Raw genomic sequence first — 18,567 nt, 5'->3', positions numbered from 1 at the left:
GTCATCTCTTTCTCTTTCTATATTTGCCTTTTCTATTGTAGTAAAATATCTATGACATAACCTTTACCATTCCACCATTTTTTTAAGTGTACAGTTCAGTGGCACTTTGTTTAGTTTTCATTTCTTTCTTTCTTTTAATTTTTTTTTGTAAAGATGGTGTCTTGCTATGTTGCCCAGGCTGGTCTCAAACTTCTGTCCTCAAGCAATTCTCTCACCTTGGCCTCCCAAAATGTTGGGATTGCAGGTGTGAGCCACTGCACCCAACCACTTTGTATACTCTTTATTCAAGTCTTTTTCAGATATTTTCACTCAGTCTGGGGCTTGCCCTTTTAATTTCTTTCCAGGGTCTTTTGAAGAGCTGTTGTTTTAAATTTTATTATAGTCCAATTTGTTAATTTTAAATTGTGACTAATCCTGTTTTGTCTTGTCTAAGAAATTTTTGTCTACCTCAAGGTTGTGAAGGTATTCTATATTTTCTTGTAGGAGTATCAGAATTTAGTTTTATGTTTAAGTTTATGATTCATTTCAAGTAAATTTTTGTGTATGATGTGACATAGAAGCTGAGTTTTGTTTCTTTTTTCCATATAATATATGTTTGATCCAGGAAAATTTGTTGGAAAAAAAAATTCTTTCCCCATTTAATTATTTTGTCACATTTGTCTTAATTACTGTAGTTTTATAGTAAGTCTCAAAATTAGTCAATATAGCCTTCCAATTTAGCTTTTCTTTCTTTTTACCTTTTTTAAAAAGATTGTTTTGGTTACTCTAAACCCTTTTGAATTTCAAATACATTTTATTTATTCATTTATATTATTATTTTTTTGAGATGGAAGTCTCACTCTGTCGCCCAGACTGGAGTGCAGTGGGGCGATTTAAGCTCATTGAAACCCCTGTCTCCTGGGTTCAAGCAATTCTTGTGCCTCAGCCTCCTGAGTAGCTGGGATTACAAGCGTGTGTACCACATGTGGCCATTTTTTTGTAGAGACGGGGGTCTCATCATGTTGCCCAGGCTGGTCTTGAACTCCTGGCCTCAAGTGATCCACCTGCCACGGCTTCCCAAAGTGCTGGGATTACAGGCATGAGCCACCACTCCTGGCACTAAATACATTTTATAATTACTGTGTGAATTTCTACAGAAAAAAATCTGGATAGGATTTTGATAGGATTTGTGCTGAATCTGTAGATTCATTTGAAGATGGTATGTCTCTCCATTTATTTATGTTTTCTTTAATTTGTCTCAGCTGAGTTGTGTTTTCAGTGTAAAGAATCTCCTTTTTGTCAAAATTAATTCCTCAGTGTATATTTTTGATGTTATTATAAACATTTCAAAATCTCATTTTCTGATTATTTGTTGCTAGTATAAATGCAATTAATTTTTGTATATTGACTTTGTGTCCTGCAGTCCTACTAAATTCACTTATTAATTGTATTAGCCTGTTTTTGCATTACTATAAAGGAATACCTGGGACCAAGTAAGGTTTTTTTTGTTGTTGTTGTTGTTTTTTAACAGAGTCTCACTCTGTCACCCAGGCTGGAGTGCAGTGGTGCAATCTCGGCTCACTGCAACTTCTGCCTCAGCCTCCCGAGTAGCTGGGATTACAGGCACGCCCCACTAATTTTTTGTATTTTTAGTAGAGATGGGGTTTCACCATGTTGGCCAGGCTGGTTTTGAACTCTTGACCTCAAGTGATGCACCTGCCCCAGCCTCCCAAAGTGGTGTGATTACAGGTGTGAGCCACTGTGTCCAGCTGAGACCAAGTAATTTATAAAGAAAAGAGGTTTAATTGGCTCACAGTTCTGCAGGCTATACAAGCATGACATCAGCATCACCTTGGCTTCTCGCAAGGGCCTCAGGAAGCTTGCAACCACGGCAGAAGGTGAAGGAGGGGCAGGCATGTAGAAAGCAAGAGAGCGGGAGAGGTGCCATACATTTTTGAACAACCATCTCTGGCATGAATTCAGTGAGAACTTACTCATCACCAAGGGGATGGTGCTAAACCATTCATGAGGGATCTGCCCTGAGGCTCCAAACACCTCCTACCAGGTCCCACCTCCAATACTGGGGATTACATTTCAACATGAGATTTGGAGGTGACAAATATCCAAACCACATCAGTAATGCTAGTAGTTTTTTGTTTTTTAAAGATGCTTTTGATCTTCAGTGTAGACAATGTGGTTACCTGTAAATACTATTTTATTTCTTCCAATTTCTATGCTTTTTATTTCTTTTCCTTGCCTTATTTTACTAGGATATCCAGTTGTATGTTTAATAAGATTGGTGAGAGTGAGAATTATTGCTTTGTGCCTGATCATAGGGATAAAGTGTTTCATAGATTAACAATTAGTATAATATTAGTTGTATGTTTTTCTTAGACATCATTATCAAATGACGAATTTCCCTTCTAGTAGTTTTCTGAGTGCTTTACTTATCAAATGATTTTTGTGTATTTATTATGATGATTTGATTTATCTCAATGTTAACATGGTGAATTACATTGAATTGATTGCTACTTGAATATTGAATGAACTTTTCATTGCCGAGGTAAACTTCACTTGGTCATAATATAGAATGTATTTTTTTTGTATTCCTAGATTTAATTTACTAATATTTTGTTGATGATTCTGGCATCTGTACTCATGAGGGATATTCACCTGTGATTTTATCTTTTTGTAATATCTTTGCTAGGCTAGTATCAGAGTTAATACTGGCATTATAAAATGAGTTGCAAAGTGTTCTCTCCTCTTTTATTTTCTGAGTTTGTTTAAGATTGTTATTATTTCTTCCTTAAATGTTTGATAGAATTCACCAGCACAATCATCTGGACCTGGAGTTTTCCTTGTGGGAAGATTTTTTATTATGGATTCAAATTCAGCTTCTTTATTAGATATTGGGCTATTCAGATTTTTATATTTTTTTAATCAATTTTTATGAATTGTGTTTTTTAAAAAAATAGTTCATTTCATATAACTTGTCAATTTTATAGGCATGAAATTGTTAGTAAAATTGCCTTTTTATTCTTTTAATGTCTTTAGGAATTTTGTGGTAACTTTTCTTTTATTCCTGATATCAATAATTTCTGGGCTTTATTTTTGACCAGTCTTGTCAGGGATTTATCAATCTGATTAACTTTTACACAGAACTGACTTGTTTTTTAATTTTTCTATATAATTAGTTTCTTTATTATTTCCCTCTTTCTATTTACTTTGTATTTAGTTTGCTCTTTTCCTAGATTCTTAAGATGGAAATGTAAATGTTTGATTTTATACTTTTCTTCTTTACTAATATTATCATTTAAAGCTATAAATTCCCCCTTAGCACTGCTTTAGCTGCATCCCACAATTTTCATGCATTTTAATTATGTTTTGATTTGAAATATTTTCTAATATATATTGAGATTTCTTCTTTGACCCATGGGTTATTTAGAAGTATATGGCTTCATTTCCAAATCCTTACCATTTTAAAAATATTTTATTAAAGACCTGGCAAATTTTGCTGACAGATTGTATGTGGAATGTGAGAGAAAGACTGTGATGAAGGTTGACTCCAAGGTTTTTGGCCTGAGCAACTAGGTGAATGGTAGTGAGATGTACTGCCGGGGGGAATACTTTGATAGTAGCAAATTTGATTTGGGAAATCAATAAGTCAGTTTTTAACATTTTTAAGTCATATTGGTGAATGTATATTTATAAAAGTCAGGGAATGACCATCTCCAATGTTCTAAAAGAAAGAATTAATTTTCCTTTCGCTGGAGTGATACACATGAAGTGGAAAAAGAAGAGTTTAAATAAGTAATTACTCACTAAATAAAACTCTGTAAGTAGAGTGTTTACCCTGTGGTTCTCTGAGTTCTGTTTGATTATAAGTGTAAGATTTTGATATTTTCAAAAATTAGTAATGTGATTCATAGTCAAAATTAAGGGTCACACATTTGCCTTAGGAGGAGCGAAAGGGCATGTGGCATGTGTTAGCATTATGTTAGAAGTCACTGGTGAAACTATGTTCGACCTATGAATAGCTACTGTATTATTCTCTTATTGGAAGAGCATCAGAAAAATCAAATAGTGATCAAAATAGAAATAGTGGAAATAGTTATAGATATGGATAGCTCTCTGCTTCCAGGATGTGATGATGATCTTTACATGGAAAAAATCTAGTAGTTTACGACTCAGTACCTCTATTTGTCTATTAGAAGCTATGTGGAATAAGATGGCATACTTCATGCTCTTCTTATCTCATTTTTAACTTAGATAAAAGCCAAGTTAAACATTTGAAAAATTCAACTATTTTCTTCAATTTTTGCATTGGCTTAACAAAAAGTGAAATAGAGTAAAAACCTCCTTTCTACCCTTGTCACCCACGGATCCAGTTTTCCCCCTGCCCACCAGAAAACACACATTTTTGGGGTGTCTTTCTAGAGTTTCTTTATGCATGTGTACAAGCAAATATAAATGTATACTCATTTACTCCCCCTTTTCCATATAATGGTAGTATATCATACATAATATTCTGTACTGTGCTTTTCTCACTTAGAAATATATCCAGGAATTTTTTCAAGCTGCATATTATTTCCTTATATGGAATACCATGAACCATAATTTATATAACCAATCCTATACTGATGGACATTTAGATTTTAAAAAATCTTTTCCTATTAAAATTAATGCTGCAATGAATAGGCTTATACATAAATCAATTATCTCTAGGATAAATTCCCACAGGTGAAATTGCTAGATCAAGCAGCATTTGCATTTGTAAGTTGTTAGATATTGCTAAATTGTCCTCTATTGGCAAGCCCAGATATTTCAAAAGTATTTATTTCTGGAGCCCTATAGGTCTCCAGTGTTCAACTTGCTGCAAAAATTTGTCTTTATTGGACCAGAGGAAGGAGGAAGATAGGTAACATTTTGTGAAATTATTTTTATAAGTAACTTCAAATTCTTTATGAAACAAAGAAAAAATATAAGAAGAGAGAAAACATTCAAGCATTACTATGTATGATGTATTATTCTCGGCTATTTGTGTAGATGAATCCTCACCACCAGTCTGTGAAGTTAGTTTCGTTTTTCTTATCAAAGATGAAAAACTAATTCTCAGAAAGATTACATATTTCATCCAAGATTGTGCTAATGGTTGTTCAACAGGATCTAGAAGCTTTTTTTTCTTCTTTCTTTTTTTCTTTTTCTTTTTTTTTTTTTGAGACGGAGTTTCGCTCTTATTGCCCAGGCTGGAGTGCAATGGTGCGATCTTGGCTCACTGCAACCTCCGCCTCCCAGGTTCAAGTGATTCTCCTGCCTCAGCCTCCCGAGTAGCTGGGGTTACAGGCATGCGCCACCATGCCTGGCTAATTTTGTATTTTTAGTAGAGATGGGGTTTCTCCATGTTGGTCAGGCTGGTCTCGAACTCACGACCTCAGGTTATCCGCCCACCTTGGCCTCCCAAAGTGCTGGGATTGCAGGTGTGAACCACTGTGCCTGGCTTGCTTGCTTTCTTTCTTTTTCCTTCTTTCTTTCTTTCTTTCTTTCTTTCTTTCTTTCTTTCTTTCTTTCTTTCTTTCTTTCTTTTGTTATACTTTAAGTTCTAGGGTACATGTACACAATGTGCGGGTTTGTTACATAGGTATACATGTGCCATGTTGGTTTGCTGCACCCATCAACTCGTCATTTACATTAGGTATTTCTCCTAATGCTATTCCTCCTCCAGCTCCCCACCCATTGACAGGCCCCGGTGTGTGATGTTCCCTGCCCTGTGTCCAAGTGTTCTCATTGTTCAATTCCCACCTATGAGTGAGAACACGTGGTGTTTGGTTTTCTGTCCTTGTGATAGTTTGCTGAGAATGATGGTTTCCAGCTTCATCCATGTCCCTACAAAGGACATGAACTCATCATTTTTTATGGCTGCATAGTATTCCATGGTGTGTATGTCCCACATTTTCTTAATCCAGTCTATCATAGATGGACATTTGGGTTGGTTCCAAGTCTTTGCTATTGTGAATAGTGCCACATTAAACATACATGTGCATGTGTCTTTATAGTAGCATGATTTATAATCCTTTAGGTATATACCCAGTAATGGGATGGCTGGGTCAAATGGTATTTCTAGTTCTAGATCCTAGAGGAATCGCCACACTGTCTTCCACAATGATTAAAAGCATTCCTATTTCTCCACATCGTCTCCAGCATCTGTTGTTTCCTGACTTTTTAATGATCGCCATTCTTACTGGCATGAGATGGTATCTCATTGTGGTTTTGATTTGCATTTCTCTTATGACCAGGGATGATGAACATTTTTTCATGTGTCTGTGGGCTGCATAAATGTCTTCTTTTGAGGAATGTCTGTTCATGTCTTTTGCCCACTTTTTGATGGGGTTGTCTTTTTCTTGTAAATTTGTTTAAGTTCTTTGTAGATTCTGGATATTAGCCATTCGTCAGATGCGTAGATTTGGACTTCTTTCTTTCTTTTTTTTTCTTTTCTTTTTTCTTTCTTTCTTTCTTTTTTTTTTGTTGAGACGGAATCTTGCTCTGTTGCCCAGGCTGGAGTGCAGTGGCGCGATCTTGGCTCACTGCAAACTCCGCCTCCCAGGTTCACGCCATTCTCCTGCCTCAGCCTCCCGAGTAGCTGGGACTACAGGTGCCCGCCACCATGCCTGGCTAATCTTTTGTATTTTTTTTTTTAGTGGAGACAGGGTTTCACCGTGTTAGCCAGGATGGTCTCAATCTCCTGACCTCGTGATCCGCCTGCCTCAGCCTCCCAAAGTGCTAGGATTACAGGTATGAGCCACCGTGCCCGGCCGGCCTTCCTCTTTATTAAGAAGAGGGACATGTTCGTATCTGGGGAGATTCTATCTCTTATGACAGGCTCCTCTGCCCTGCGATGGTAAATCCATCTCTTGTGTTGGTATGAACTGCTAGGAACATATATGATGACCATTGGGTTCTGAATCACCCAAAACTTGGCTGAACTCACTGTCGGAAGATAGCACAGAGTTTAATTCTCTGGAATAGATAGTTTTAATACTTCTGTAGAAAATCTTATAATAGCATTTTCATTTATACAGTCTAAGATAAGGCAATCAGATCTTTTGCTTGAGGATATAAATTAATTGCTGGCAGAAGTCAGTCAAGAGGAAGACTATATGTTTTGACTAGGGTACAGTGAGCAAGAAGAAGTCGTAATTGAGGCAGGCCACAGATTTCTAGATGACCTGAGGCAAGGCATTTGGCCATGACTGTTTTCAGCACTCTGTCTCCAAAATGGAAGGTCCTTATAGATAACACTGATCACTAACAACATACTTGGCATAGAATTAGTCATGATTGATGATGCAGCATGTAATATGAAATGGATAAGAGAACAGACTTTTTAGCCAAATAAACCTACATTTGAATGTTTTTTCTGTTCTTTACTGGGTGTGTGACATTGGGAACTTTAGTATTTTTTCTAAGTCTTTCTTTCTTTGTCTGAAAAATGAGGATAACAGTCGTACCCACCTCATAGGGTTGTTGTGAAAATTAAGTGAGATTACATGGATAAAATGCTTAGTAAAGCGCCTGGAACATAATAAGTACTCATTAAATGATAGCTGCTCTTATTATTTCATGTTAATACTCATGTTTTCTATTCTGAGATCTCTTTACTCCGGACTGTGGGGCGGATTTCTGTACTGTGAGAACCAACTTTGTGTGTTTAATATGGCTGTATGCTCAGCTAAATTAAAACACAGAGGTAAAGCTCTACCTGACCTTGTCGGTGATTAGCTTTTGCCTTTCCATGCATGAAATTTGATTATCTTTATCATTGTCTTAGCTTGTGTTACCTACGTATCATAAAATTATCCCAACATTTTAATATCCTGTCACAAACATTTATCTTTTTGACCTTCAATGGAATTGTGGTAAGTCTGTCTGCTCCTGAATGCATCTATCTATCTCATGTAATGTGAAATTACCAGTGCTGAAGTTTAATACTTATACCTTGGTCACTTAGATGCCGTGAGCTTTGATTCATCCTTGCCACTAGATGGCACTATAATAGAACACATTCATCATAGTTGTGCTTTATTGTCTGGGCAGACATGCCATAGAAATAGGAGCTAAGGAGGTGTAGCCTCCACGTATGAAAATGAAGATGAGAGGGCTTTGACATAGGGACATTTCGTAAATAGGAGAGTTTAGTGTTTGAGTTTTATGTGGTTTGGGTTCCTCCAAACCACATAAAACACATAAAATGATCTCCAAACCACATAAAATGATTTTGAGGATAGGAATAAGGGAGCAAGAAGAACAAGACTGGAAAGGAAGAAATGGAGAAACATGAGGATAATGTTTCAAGACTACTGCTGTGGGCAACAGGGCTTAATTCTACAGGAGCATCCTAAGAAGCATGAAGGATGCCTCCCAGAATTGTCCACACAATTGTGGGGCGGCAAGAGTGCTTATTCATTAGCTCCTGTCCATTGGTTAAGGTTGCTCCCTGTTCTTTCGCTGCACATATGTATAAGCCAAAAAACTCCTGCTGGAATCCAACATGGCCATGGGGCAGAAAGTAAAGATTCTCAGTGTGGCCTAGAGATAAGACGTCATCAGGTGAAGCAGATCTGAGAATGCATTCAATTATCTATTCCAACCTGGTTAAAATCAGATATAAGGCTGGGTAGATGTGACTCAGGGCACCAGATGTATCTACTACAGCGACCTAATAAATCATGTAGTCTGTAAATTCTTCCAGTTGAAATAAACAAAGAATCTTAATGAACCACCTGCATCTCCAAATCCTTGGGGGCTACCCAATGGGTATTCCAGCAAAAGTTTAATGAATAAAAACATAAAAGATTATGAAATTCAGAGAAGGAGATATCTTGCCTTTTATATCCTAGTAGGAAAAGTTTCTCAAATCCTTTTATTGTTGTGTACTAGAATATAGAAACAGGAAGTGTTTGTTATTGTAGAAGCAGGAGGAGTTTACCAATCGGAAAAATCTGGGTTGGGCGGTATGTAGTGAGGGAATTGTAGTGGACTGGGGCTCAAGACAGTTTAGGATCTAGCTGTGATAACTGTCTAGCTGTGATGTTGGATGAATTACTTAGGTCACCCTAAGCTGAAATTGTGGGACCTCAGTGTCTTTATCTGTAGAAGATTGTATATATAATATATATAATTATTTTATATATATATATGTTGGCTGAGTTCAATCATCTTTAAGATTTCTTCTAGTCCTAAGATGCTATGAAAATTATACATGTAGAAAAATAGGTGACTTTTGTGAGTGGGCATATTATACTGATATGTGTATTCATGTTTGCATACGTGATATGATGAGTTTTTCAACATTGGAATTGATTATCTACTTGACACTGTGAAAATATCCTTGATCTTTAAAAATTGAAAAGTTTCGTTGGATTCAGAATGATGTGCCAGATAATATTCAAGTACATACAAGAAATACTAGTTCTAAAGCATTCACAGGTAATATAAATGAAACCCTGTTTTCTTTTATTGGTTAGTTATATAACATTCTTCAGTTTTACAAATTAAGTAATTATTTAATAGTTATTTTAATCGAAGCAGGGAGAAGGTGCAATCATCTTTAGAGGTGGAAAATCACGTAATTTATTGCACATACTGGACACTTTTGAGAGTGAAAGGGGGCACCAGTTATAATTAGTAATTATTTTGGGATAAGAGATATAACTCAGAACCACCCCAGGCAAACTGGGACAGAATATTGCCTTATTTGAAGGTTGATTTCAACTTCCTTATTGGCTAAGAAAGTAGTAGGATAAATTTAATCCAAATTCCCTAGAATTAGACAGACCCTCCACTGAGACCAAATATAAAATCTCAGTAAAATACAAAATAAAAGCTGTTTGAAGCCATCAGACAATAACCAAGGTAACTGAAAGTTGAGAGGCCAGGATCTCAAAGAAAAAGGAAAAACAGAGGGCGAGTCCTGAATTTGCTAATGCTTTTGCCCTTAGAATCTTTGCTAATTTGCCTTGTGGGACATAGAGGCTGAAGAGAAATCAGAGGTCTAGAGTTTGCAGCAGTATCACTAAGATGAGACCAAAATTGAACTTCAGGGCTAGTTAAGTACCCAGAACTTAAGGGCATCAAAATCCTGAAGAAATGGGAACTTCAGAGAAGTGATCCTAGCTTTTGCTATACCATTTCCCTTCAAGTCGTTAGCGAATTCTTAAACTGGGCATGTGTGGAGCGAGAGGCTAAGAAACCCAGAAAAAAAAAGTAGTTGCCTTTTAGCTAAAAAACTAATCAGAGCTCTTGGCAGTCTCACAGTGCTGGGGAGAAACAAAAATTATAATTTAGAACCTGCCAAGGATCTCAGTAAATTCCCCAGGCTTTTAAATGAGACCTCTGAAGTGTTATGACTGATGATAGGGATAAATCAGTAATAGATCAGCCCTCACAAAGTCTTAAAAATAGTCTCCAATTATTTCAGTCTCTGATTGGATCAGGATTTCCTGCCTTTTAGGCAGAAGAAAATAAAATCTTCTCTGGAGAAATATAATATCATCCAGAGTCTCTACAATCATTCATGTGTAATGTCAGCCTTCAATCTAAAATTATCAGGTTTGCCAGGGAACTTGACCAAATGACAAAAGCTAAAAGGAAAAAAAATCAGCAATAGGTCTACAGGTGATGTGGATATTGAGGTTATTTAACTAACTATAATTAATAGATTTAAAAAGTAGATTCTAAAAATAGAGACTATCACTAGAAAATTAGAATCTATAAAAGCATAGTCAAATGGAAATTCTAGAGCTGAGAGGATTAAGAAGTAAAAAAATGAGTTTAACTGCAGATTAGAGAACAGAATAGAGAATTAGTAAGCTGAAAGTAGATAAGTAGAAAATGTTAAGTTTGAAGTGCAGAGAAGGAAAATTAATGGAAAATCTAGATAGTAGCATAGGGTACATATAAAAATTGGCACAAGTGTTGAATATATGTTTATTTGAAGCTCCAGAAGGGGAGGAGAGGGAAATGGAGGAGAAGAAATATTTGAAGATATGCTGGTCAAATAATTTCAAAAACAAGTGAAGGATCTCAAACTGCAGGTTCATGAAAGTCTACAAACCCCAAACAGAATAAATACAAAATATCACGGCAAATAGAGCTAAAAACTCATAAGTAGAAAATCTGAGTCATATTTAGAGAAAACAAGACAAATCATCTTTAAAAGAGTTACAATAAACTGACAGTTTTCCTTTCAAAAGAAATATCCTTCAATGAAGGATGAAACAGATACATGAAAATGAAATGAAAATATTCATTTGAATATCCTTAAATGAAGAAATATATCAAATGAAGAAATAAACAAATGAAGAGGAAATAAACTCACTTTCATATCCAAGTAAAACAGAAGAGAAATTGTTGCCAGAAAATGCATGTTAAAATTAAGCACAAGGGGAGTTATTCATCAGGAAGTTAATGGTCTTAGATGGAAGCGTAGAAATGCAGGAAGAAGTGAAGAGCAATGGGAAAGACAAATATGTGGGTAAGTTTAAATAAACACTGACTCTTTAAAAATAACAATAATAATGTCTAGTGGTTTGAAACTATATGTAGAATTAAAACCCATGACAACAACAGCATGGAAGGCAGGAAGGGAGTGAATGGAGTTGATTCTTGCATTATCTGGGAAGTGGTACATTTTCTGATCTAAGGTAGATTGATAACTGGATGTATGTTACTAAATGAACAAAAAAGAAAGTATGACTAATAATGTAATAAAAAGGAGAAAATGTAATGATAAAATAATTACTTGATTAATAAAATAGAATGCAAGACAGGAGAAAAAAGGAACAAAAAAGAGATGAGATAAATAGAAAACAATGTGGTAATCTGGTTTGATATATGGAAGAAGAAAGGACATTATAGTGGAAAAACTGCAGAAGTCCAAATCAAGCCTGAAGTTTAGTATAGTAGTATTGAGTGTTTAGTACCTATGTGGGTTTCTAAGTTTTAACACATGTACTGTGATAATGTAAAATGTTAAAATTAACTGAAAGTGACTGAGGGATATATAGGAATGCCTTGTACTATCTTTACAATTTTTCCGTACATCTAAAATTATTTCTTCCAAAAAGTTTATGAGAAATAAAAGGAAAAGGTGATAACTCTAGAAAAGTGGGCAAAATCTTGAGAATGACGTAAAAAATGTAATATTCAGATGCCCAATACAGATAAATAAAAGATGGTCACCTTCATTAAATATGAGAAAAATGCAATTTTTAAAAATTGTTTATTTTATTTTTATTTTTATTTTAATGGAGTCTCATTCTGTTGCCCAGGCTGGAGTGCAGTGGCACGATCTCAGCTCACTGCAACCTCCCCATCCCGGGTTCAAGTGATTCTCCTGCCTCAGCCTCCTGAGTAGCTGGGATTACAGGTGCATGCCACCACACCTGGCTAATTTTTGTATTTTAGTAGAGACAAGGTTTCACCATGTTGGCCAGGCTGGTCTTGAACTACTGACTTCAGGTGATCCACCCACCCCTGCCTCCCAAAGTGCTGGGATTACAGGCGTGAGCCACCACACCCAGCCAAAAAATGCAAATTAAAGCCTCAATGCATCATGACCACACATCCTCCATCATGGCTTATGTGAAAAAGACAGAATACCAAGATTGTTGAGGATGTTGAATGACTGGAACTCATACACCACTGGTGGGAGTGTAAATTTACAAGATCATTGTATTAAAATTTTCCTTGGCAGTGTTAACTAAAGCTAAACATAATGCCTACACTATCATCCAGAAATCCTGATCTAAGTACACATGTGCTAAAAAATGTGGACAAGAGCCAGGTGTGGTGGCTTATGCCTGTAATCCCAGCACTTTGGGAAGCTGAGGTGGGCAGATTGAGCTCTGAAGTTCGAGACCAGCCTGGGCAACATAGTGAAACCTCGTCTCTACTAAAACAAAAAATTAGCCAGGCAGTGGTGGTGCACGCCTGTAAACTCAGCCTCTAGGCTGAGGCACTAGAATCACTTGAACCCAGGAGGCAGAGGTTCCAGTGAGCTGAGTTCGTGCCACTGCACTCCAGGCTGGGCAACAGAGCAAGACTGTCTCAAAAAAAAAAAAAAATCAACAGCAACAAAAAACTGGACAAGAATGTTCAGTATCACTTTACTCTTAATAGCCCCAAACTGAAACAACCCAAATGTCCCTAGATGGGTAAATAATTTGTGACATTGGCATACAATAGAATATTATAAATTAACTTTTTAAAAAGCAACTACTGTACAAACAAAATTATGGATGAATCTTACAGACATAATGTTGAGGGGAACATCTAGAAAGAAAAGAAGTACATTCTTCATGATCCAATTTATTTGGAAGTAAATAAAATTAACCAACAGTGATGAAGGTCAGAACAGTGGTTACTTGTTGAGGAGGTAATGACCAGGAGGGGCAACAGGGAGCCTTCTGTGGTGCTGGTGGTGTTCTATATCTTGATATCATTTGTGGTTACAGGAGTGTGCCCACTTTGCCAAGATTCATTAAGCCCTTAGGATTTAGGTGCTTAACTGTATGACTATTACATATTAATAAAAAAGTCAAACCCACAAATGCCCTGGAAACCTGAATTTCAAATTAAAACATGTTTTCACTCAGCTTTATAGTATTGATACAAACTATAGCATATTTTTTGAGTGGGGGACAGAGTCTTGCTCTATCACCCAGGCAGGAGTGCAGCGGTGCAATCTCGGCTTACTGCAACCTCCACCTCCTGGGTTCGAGTGATTCTCATGTCTCAGCCTTCCGAGTAGCTGGGATTACAGGCCAGCACCACCATGCCTGGCTATTTTTTTCTGTATTTTTAGTAAAGATGGGGTTTCGCCATGTTGTCCATGATGGTCTTGAACTCCTGGGCTCAAGAGATCCACCCACCTCGGCCTCCCAAAGTGCTGGGATTATAGGCGTGAGCCACTGCACCCAGCCTATAGCATAATGTTTTTGTAAAAGTTCTATAAGTTGTAGAAACTGAAATTCCAACTAATGTATTGTTCTAACATAATAGAAAGATTTTATTTTATTTTATTTTATTTACATATTTTTGAGACAGAGTCTTGCTTTGTCACGACCAGGCTGGAGTGCAGTGATGCGATCTCAGCTCACTGCAACCTTCTCCTTGTGGGTTTAAGTGATTCTCAGGCTGACTCCTGAGTACAGGCGTGCACCACCACACCTGGCTAATTTTTGTATTTTTAGTAGAGACGGGGTTTCACCATGTTAGCCAGGCTGGTTTTGAACTCCTGACTTCAAGTGATCCCCCTGCCTAGACCTCCTAAACTGTTGGGATTACAGGCGTGAGCCACGGCGCCTGGCAATAGAAAGATTTTAGTGTCCACTTGTGTGTGTGTGCATCCTTTAAAAATCAATAGATATATAGAATGCTCTTATTAGAAAACATCTGCACTATACTTTAATAACTAATTAATTGGTCTTCCATTCTTAGGGATTTATGCTCTGCATGAACAGATCCGAGGAGACCAGTTACAATTATTGTACAAACTAAGGCCAAATTAGGCAGTAGACTCTCCTGATGTTCTAATATTTTGAAATGTAGAAGGAACTGTTTGAATGCCTAATAAGGCTTTTACAAATTTTGGGACTTCATGATCAAAGCAAACTACAATTAATACTCATGGAAGATTAACTAAGAGAAAAATGCAAAGGTGAATCAATATCCTTGAGAGAAGACTGAGAAATAGAGCAAGCCAGCAAGGGTTTTAGAGCCTACAGGATTCCTCTTTTCAAATAGTAATTATATATATATTCAAACATTCTCTCTCTTTCCCCCTCTCTCTCTCTCTCTCCACACACACACACACACACACACACACACACACACACACACACACTCTCACAACTCTGCAAGATACTCTTGTTATCCTCCTATTTCATGGATATAGAAGCTGAGGCTTAGAGAGATTATGTTGTTCAACTCAGGACACCATGTCCGTGAGTGGAGGGTCCATTATTTAAATATAGATATGGCCAACTCTATAGCCCATGCTTTTATTCACTCCTATTCACAGCAGTATTTCTTGAAGTATGAATTATGCCACCTGCATCCAAATAGCAGGGGAAGCTTGTCAAGTATTCATTCCCAGGTGCCCAGTGCAGCTGGAGTTTCTGAAGTTGGAGCTTATGAGTCTCCATGTTTCTTAAGGGCTCTGAAGGTTGAGAAAAACCGCTTCGGTTTTGCTGTCATGATTTTGAATAGGAGTGGGACATTTTGTCCAAACCCAACTTAGCAAGTACCAAGTTTACTCAAGTATCAAATAATAGAAGAGAATAATGCTCCTTAAGTGTGTACATGCTGTTGTTGTCGCACACAATTCCTCTCCCATTCACTAGCATTTTACCTGAGATTTTCAAGAGTGTAGATGTTTTCTAACCATTTTCAAGCTGTTGAGTGCAGTATACACAAAGGAAACATTGAGTTTGTTTAAATAAACATTTGTAACTCCCAAGAAGAGTATGTGCCTATTGATTGTTTCCACTACATTCTAAATATTAAGTTGAAGCAATACATTAATCAGAGGGACCATTATTCTGCCTACGCTGTTCTCTGTATCAAACCCCTTGAGACTGGTTGAAATACCAAATATGATGTGGCATGTGTTTCTTCAGTAAAAGATAGAAGACAAAAAACGATGTGAAAACAATCAAATAATATGTAACGGCTGATTCTTTCAGCCTTAATGAAGTTATTAGGATGTTTCCTTCTCCAAAGCCTTACTTTCTTTAAAAAAATGAAAGGAAGATGGGAAAGGGGTAAATAGAGGTTGTTAAAGCTTAAACTTTGCATTTTCTCCCCTCTCAGTTTTTAGAAACAATATTGAAAATTTGAAAATTTCTTGGTACAGGGACAGAAAAACAACAGTAAATAATTAAGAAGCTGAGTCATTAGGGATGTGAAGTGCAGTCAGACTTGGGTTTGAGGCCAGCTCTTCTACTGAGCATTAGGATCTTCGGTGAGTTCCTTATCATCTCTCTTCAGTTTCCTCCTCCTTAAGTATAATAAGAATGGGACTTATTTCATGGGGCTCAGAATCCCCTTTACATGAAATAATTGCATGCGCGATGGATAGTACAGTGCCTGGAACATAGTAAGCATATAAAAGTCATTAGCTATTATTGTAACTGCTATTGTCTGTTTCTTCTATGATACTTACCATTTATGTTGAATGAAAACTTCCTTTAATAGAAACTAAATATGAAATGTACTATTAGAAATTTCGTGAGTTCAGGAACTTATGAAATAAAAATAACAAGAGGCCATTTAACAACATTTCCAGGCTTGTGTGATTTTAAGGGATCTGCTGCGCCAGGTGTATGCTGCCTTAAACAAGTTCCTTATTGTTTCCTGGATTGTGCTGCTGTAAAGGTTTCTTCTGTTTTCTTCCAGAGCCAGAGTTGCTGGTTTCTTTTCTGTACATTAGCAACTCCCACACCGCTCAGATATAAGGTTTGAGAACCAAAAATAAAGTTGTCTTGTGATACCGAGGAAAAGTTGATAGAAATGAGGTTAGCTTGTCAGTCTGGTATGTTTTCTGAAGATCTCTTCATTCTAGTTCTATTACTATGTGCGGAATTACCATAGTGATTTTTTTCTCTACTAAAAATAAAATTTCCTCCTATATATAGAATGTGTGTTTAGTACAGAAGAATTGAAAAAAATAGAAAAGTAGAAATATGAAAACGAATACTTTCTAATTCTAACAAAAATTAGAGTTAACACTTTGGATTGCTTCATTATAGACTTATTTTTTCTTCCATGGAGATATATATATATATATCTCCATGGAAGAAATACATATATATGTATATATTTCTCATTAACAAGCAAAACTGTGTATAGAGATTTGTATCTGTCTTTTCTCCCTAAGGTATCTTCATAGATATCTCCTATCATAGTATATTTTCCCAATTTAGTTTCTTTTTATTGACATGAAAAATATTTTTAAAGACAGGTCTACCACTCAGGTGTGATTATATTATATTTTAGACATAATTTTTTACTAATTCACTTAGTCATCAAATTTTTATAATGCACTTACTACTCAAAAAGCACTAGACCGTAACTTTTTGTGGACAGGAACTTTGGTCATGTCCACCTCTATCTCCAGTTTCTAGTACTGTGCCTGGGAGGTAGAGATGTGCAGCAGATGTTATTGAACAAATGATTATTGAGTAAACACTTGTTAGTATATCCCTTACCTCAACTAGGGGTTGAAGTTTTCAAAAAAGTCACACTGCTGTCACGAAAGTGTATCTGAGCCAACTCTGTGTTGGATTCTGAAGTGTGGGGGTGACAGGCTTGACTCAGTGAATAGCTTTTTTTTTGTTCCAAGGTCTGGGGGAAAGGAGATCCAGACTCAACTTGTTTTATGGTTTTTAAAATGGAAAAAAAGGATCTTTGCCGATGGCATTTGTGTGTATTTGTGCGCGTGTTTGTGTGTGTGTGTGTGTGTGCACATGGATGTATATAAAAATATACTTTCAAGGCCTGACCCCATGGCACACACCTGTTATCTCAGCACTTTGGGAAGCCAAGGAGGGCAGATTGCTTGAGTTAAGGCTCAGGCATTTGAGACCAGCCTGGGCAACATGGAGAAACGTCGCCTCTACTAAAAATACAAAAAAGTAACTGGGCTTGGTGGCACACGCCTGTAGTACCAGCTACTTGGGAGGCTGAGGTGGGAGTATGGCTTGAGCCTGGGAGGTCGAGGCTGAGTGAGCTGAGATCACACTGCTGTACTCCCGCCTCGGCAACAGAGTGAGACTCTGCCTCAAAAAAACAAAACAAAACAAAACAAAACAAAACAAAACAAAACAAAACAAGTTCTTTCAAAGAAGCTCTTCACATACATATTTATTTTTTGAACAGAAGTATATTTGCATTTGGTCTGCTGAGACCTCTCAAATTACTTCCATAACCTCCCCTCAATGTTCCATCGGTCTTCCAAATACTAAGAACACAGCACTCTCATAGCAAAATGCTTCATAGGTCAACTCAAGCTGGAGCTAGGCAGAAAGTGGTTTCCAATCTGAAAAGGTAATTTCCTTTCTAAGATTTAAGATTAAAAAATAATTGAGGCCCAGGAAGATGGTCTGTCCTATAAGAAAAATGACTTCTTCCCTCGTGACACTTTCTTGTTGGAGGTGAGTTCAGAGTAGAAGTTGGCTGGGAATGTGTGTAGCCTGAGCAGATGGAAGTGGGGGTATGGAGTGGGACCCAATTCCAAACTCATTTAGGTCAACTCATTGAAACAATCATAATCTGTAGGAAGTCCTACAGCACAGACTCTGGCAATATTTCCATGCCCTTGGTCTCATCCCTGTGCCTGTAAAATATACTTATTATGCTATGACTTTTCTGTCTGTGTAACAGGGATGGACATACTTGTAATGTTTCTTTGTTACCTCCGTATTATATTGTTTTTAGGGTTAAATCCAGAAGGAGTAGTGCTGGCTCTCTTGGTTGGAGAAAAGTGCCTAACAGCCACTGCATTACTACTATTTTTAAAATGTTTGATAT

General features: G+C 36.8%; 1 long non-coding RNA gene across 2 annotated transcripts in view, besides 1 other annotated feature; it reads left to right on the top strand.

The window, feature by feature from the left end:
• Nucleotides 1-18,567, top strand: part of LOC105377114 (uncharacterized) — a 144,240-nt gene that overhangs the window by 38,726 nt on the left and 86,947 nt on the right. The window lies entirely within an intron of this gene.
• Nucleotides 8,067-8,136: a silencer, noted in NCBI's record as "silent region_14495". NCBI's record gives its function as "represses an Ori minimal core promoter by ATAC-STARR-seq in GM12878 lymphoblastoid cells {active_cell/tissue: GM12878}" and the evidence as "EXISTENCE:reporter gene assay evidence [ECO:0000049][PMID:35858748]".

This window comes from Homo sapiens, chromosome 3 (genome assembly GCF_000001405.40).
Source record: "Homo sapiens chromosome 3, GRCh38.p14 Primary Assembly".
NCBI lineage: Eukaryota > Metazoa > Chordata > Mammalia > Primates > Hominidae > Homo > Homo sapiens.
This window is presented reverse-complemented; position numbering and strand designations above follow the sequence as displayed.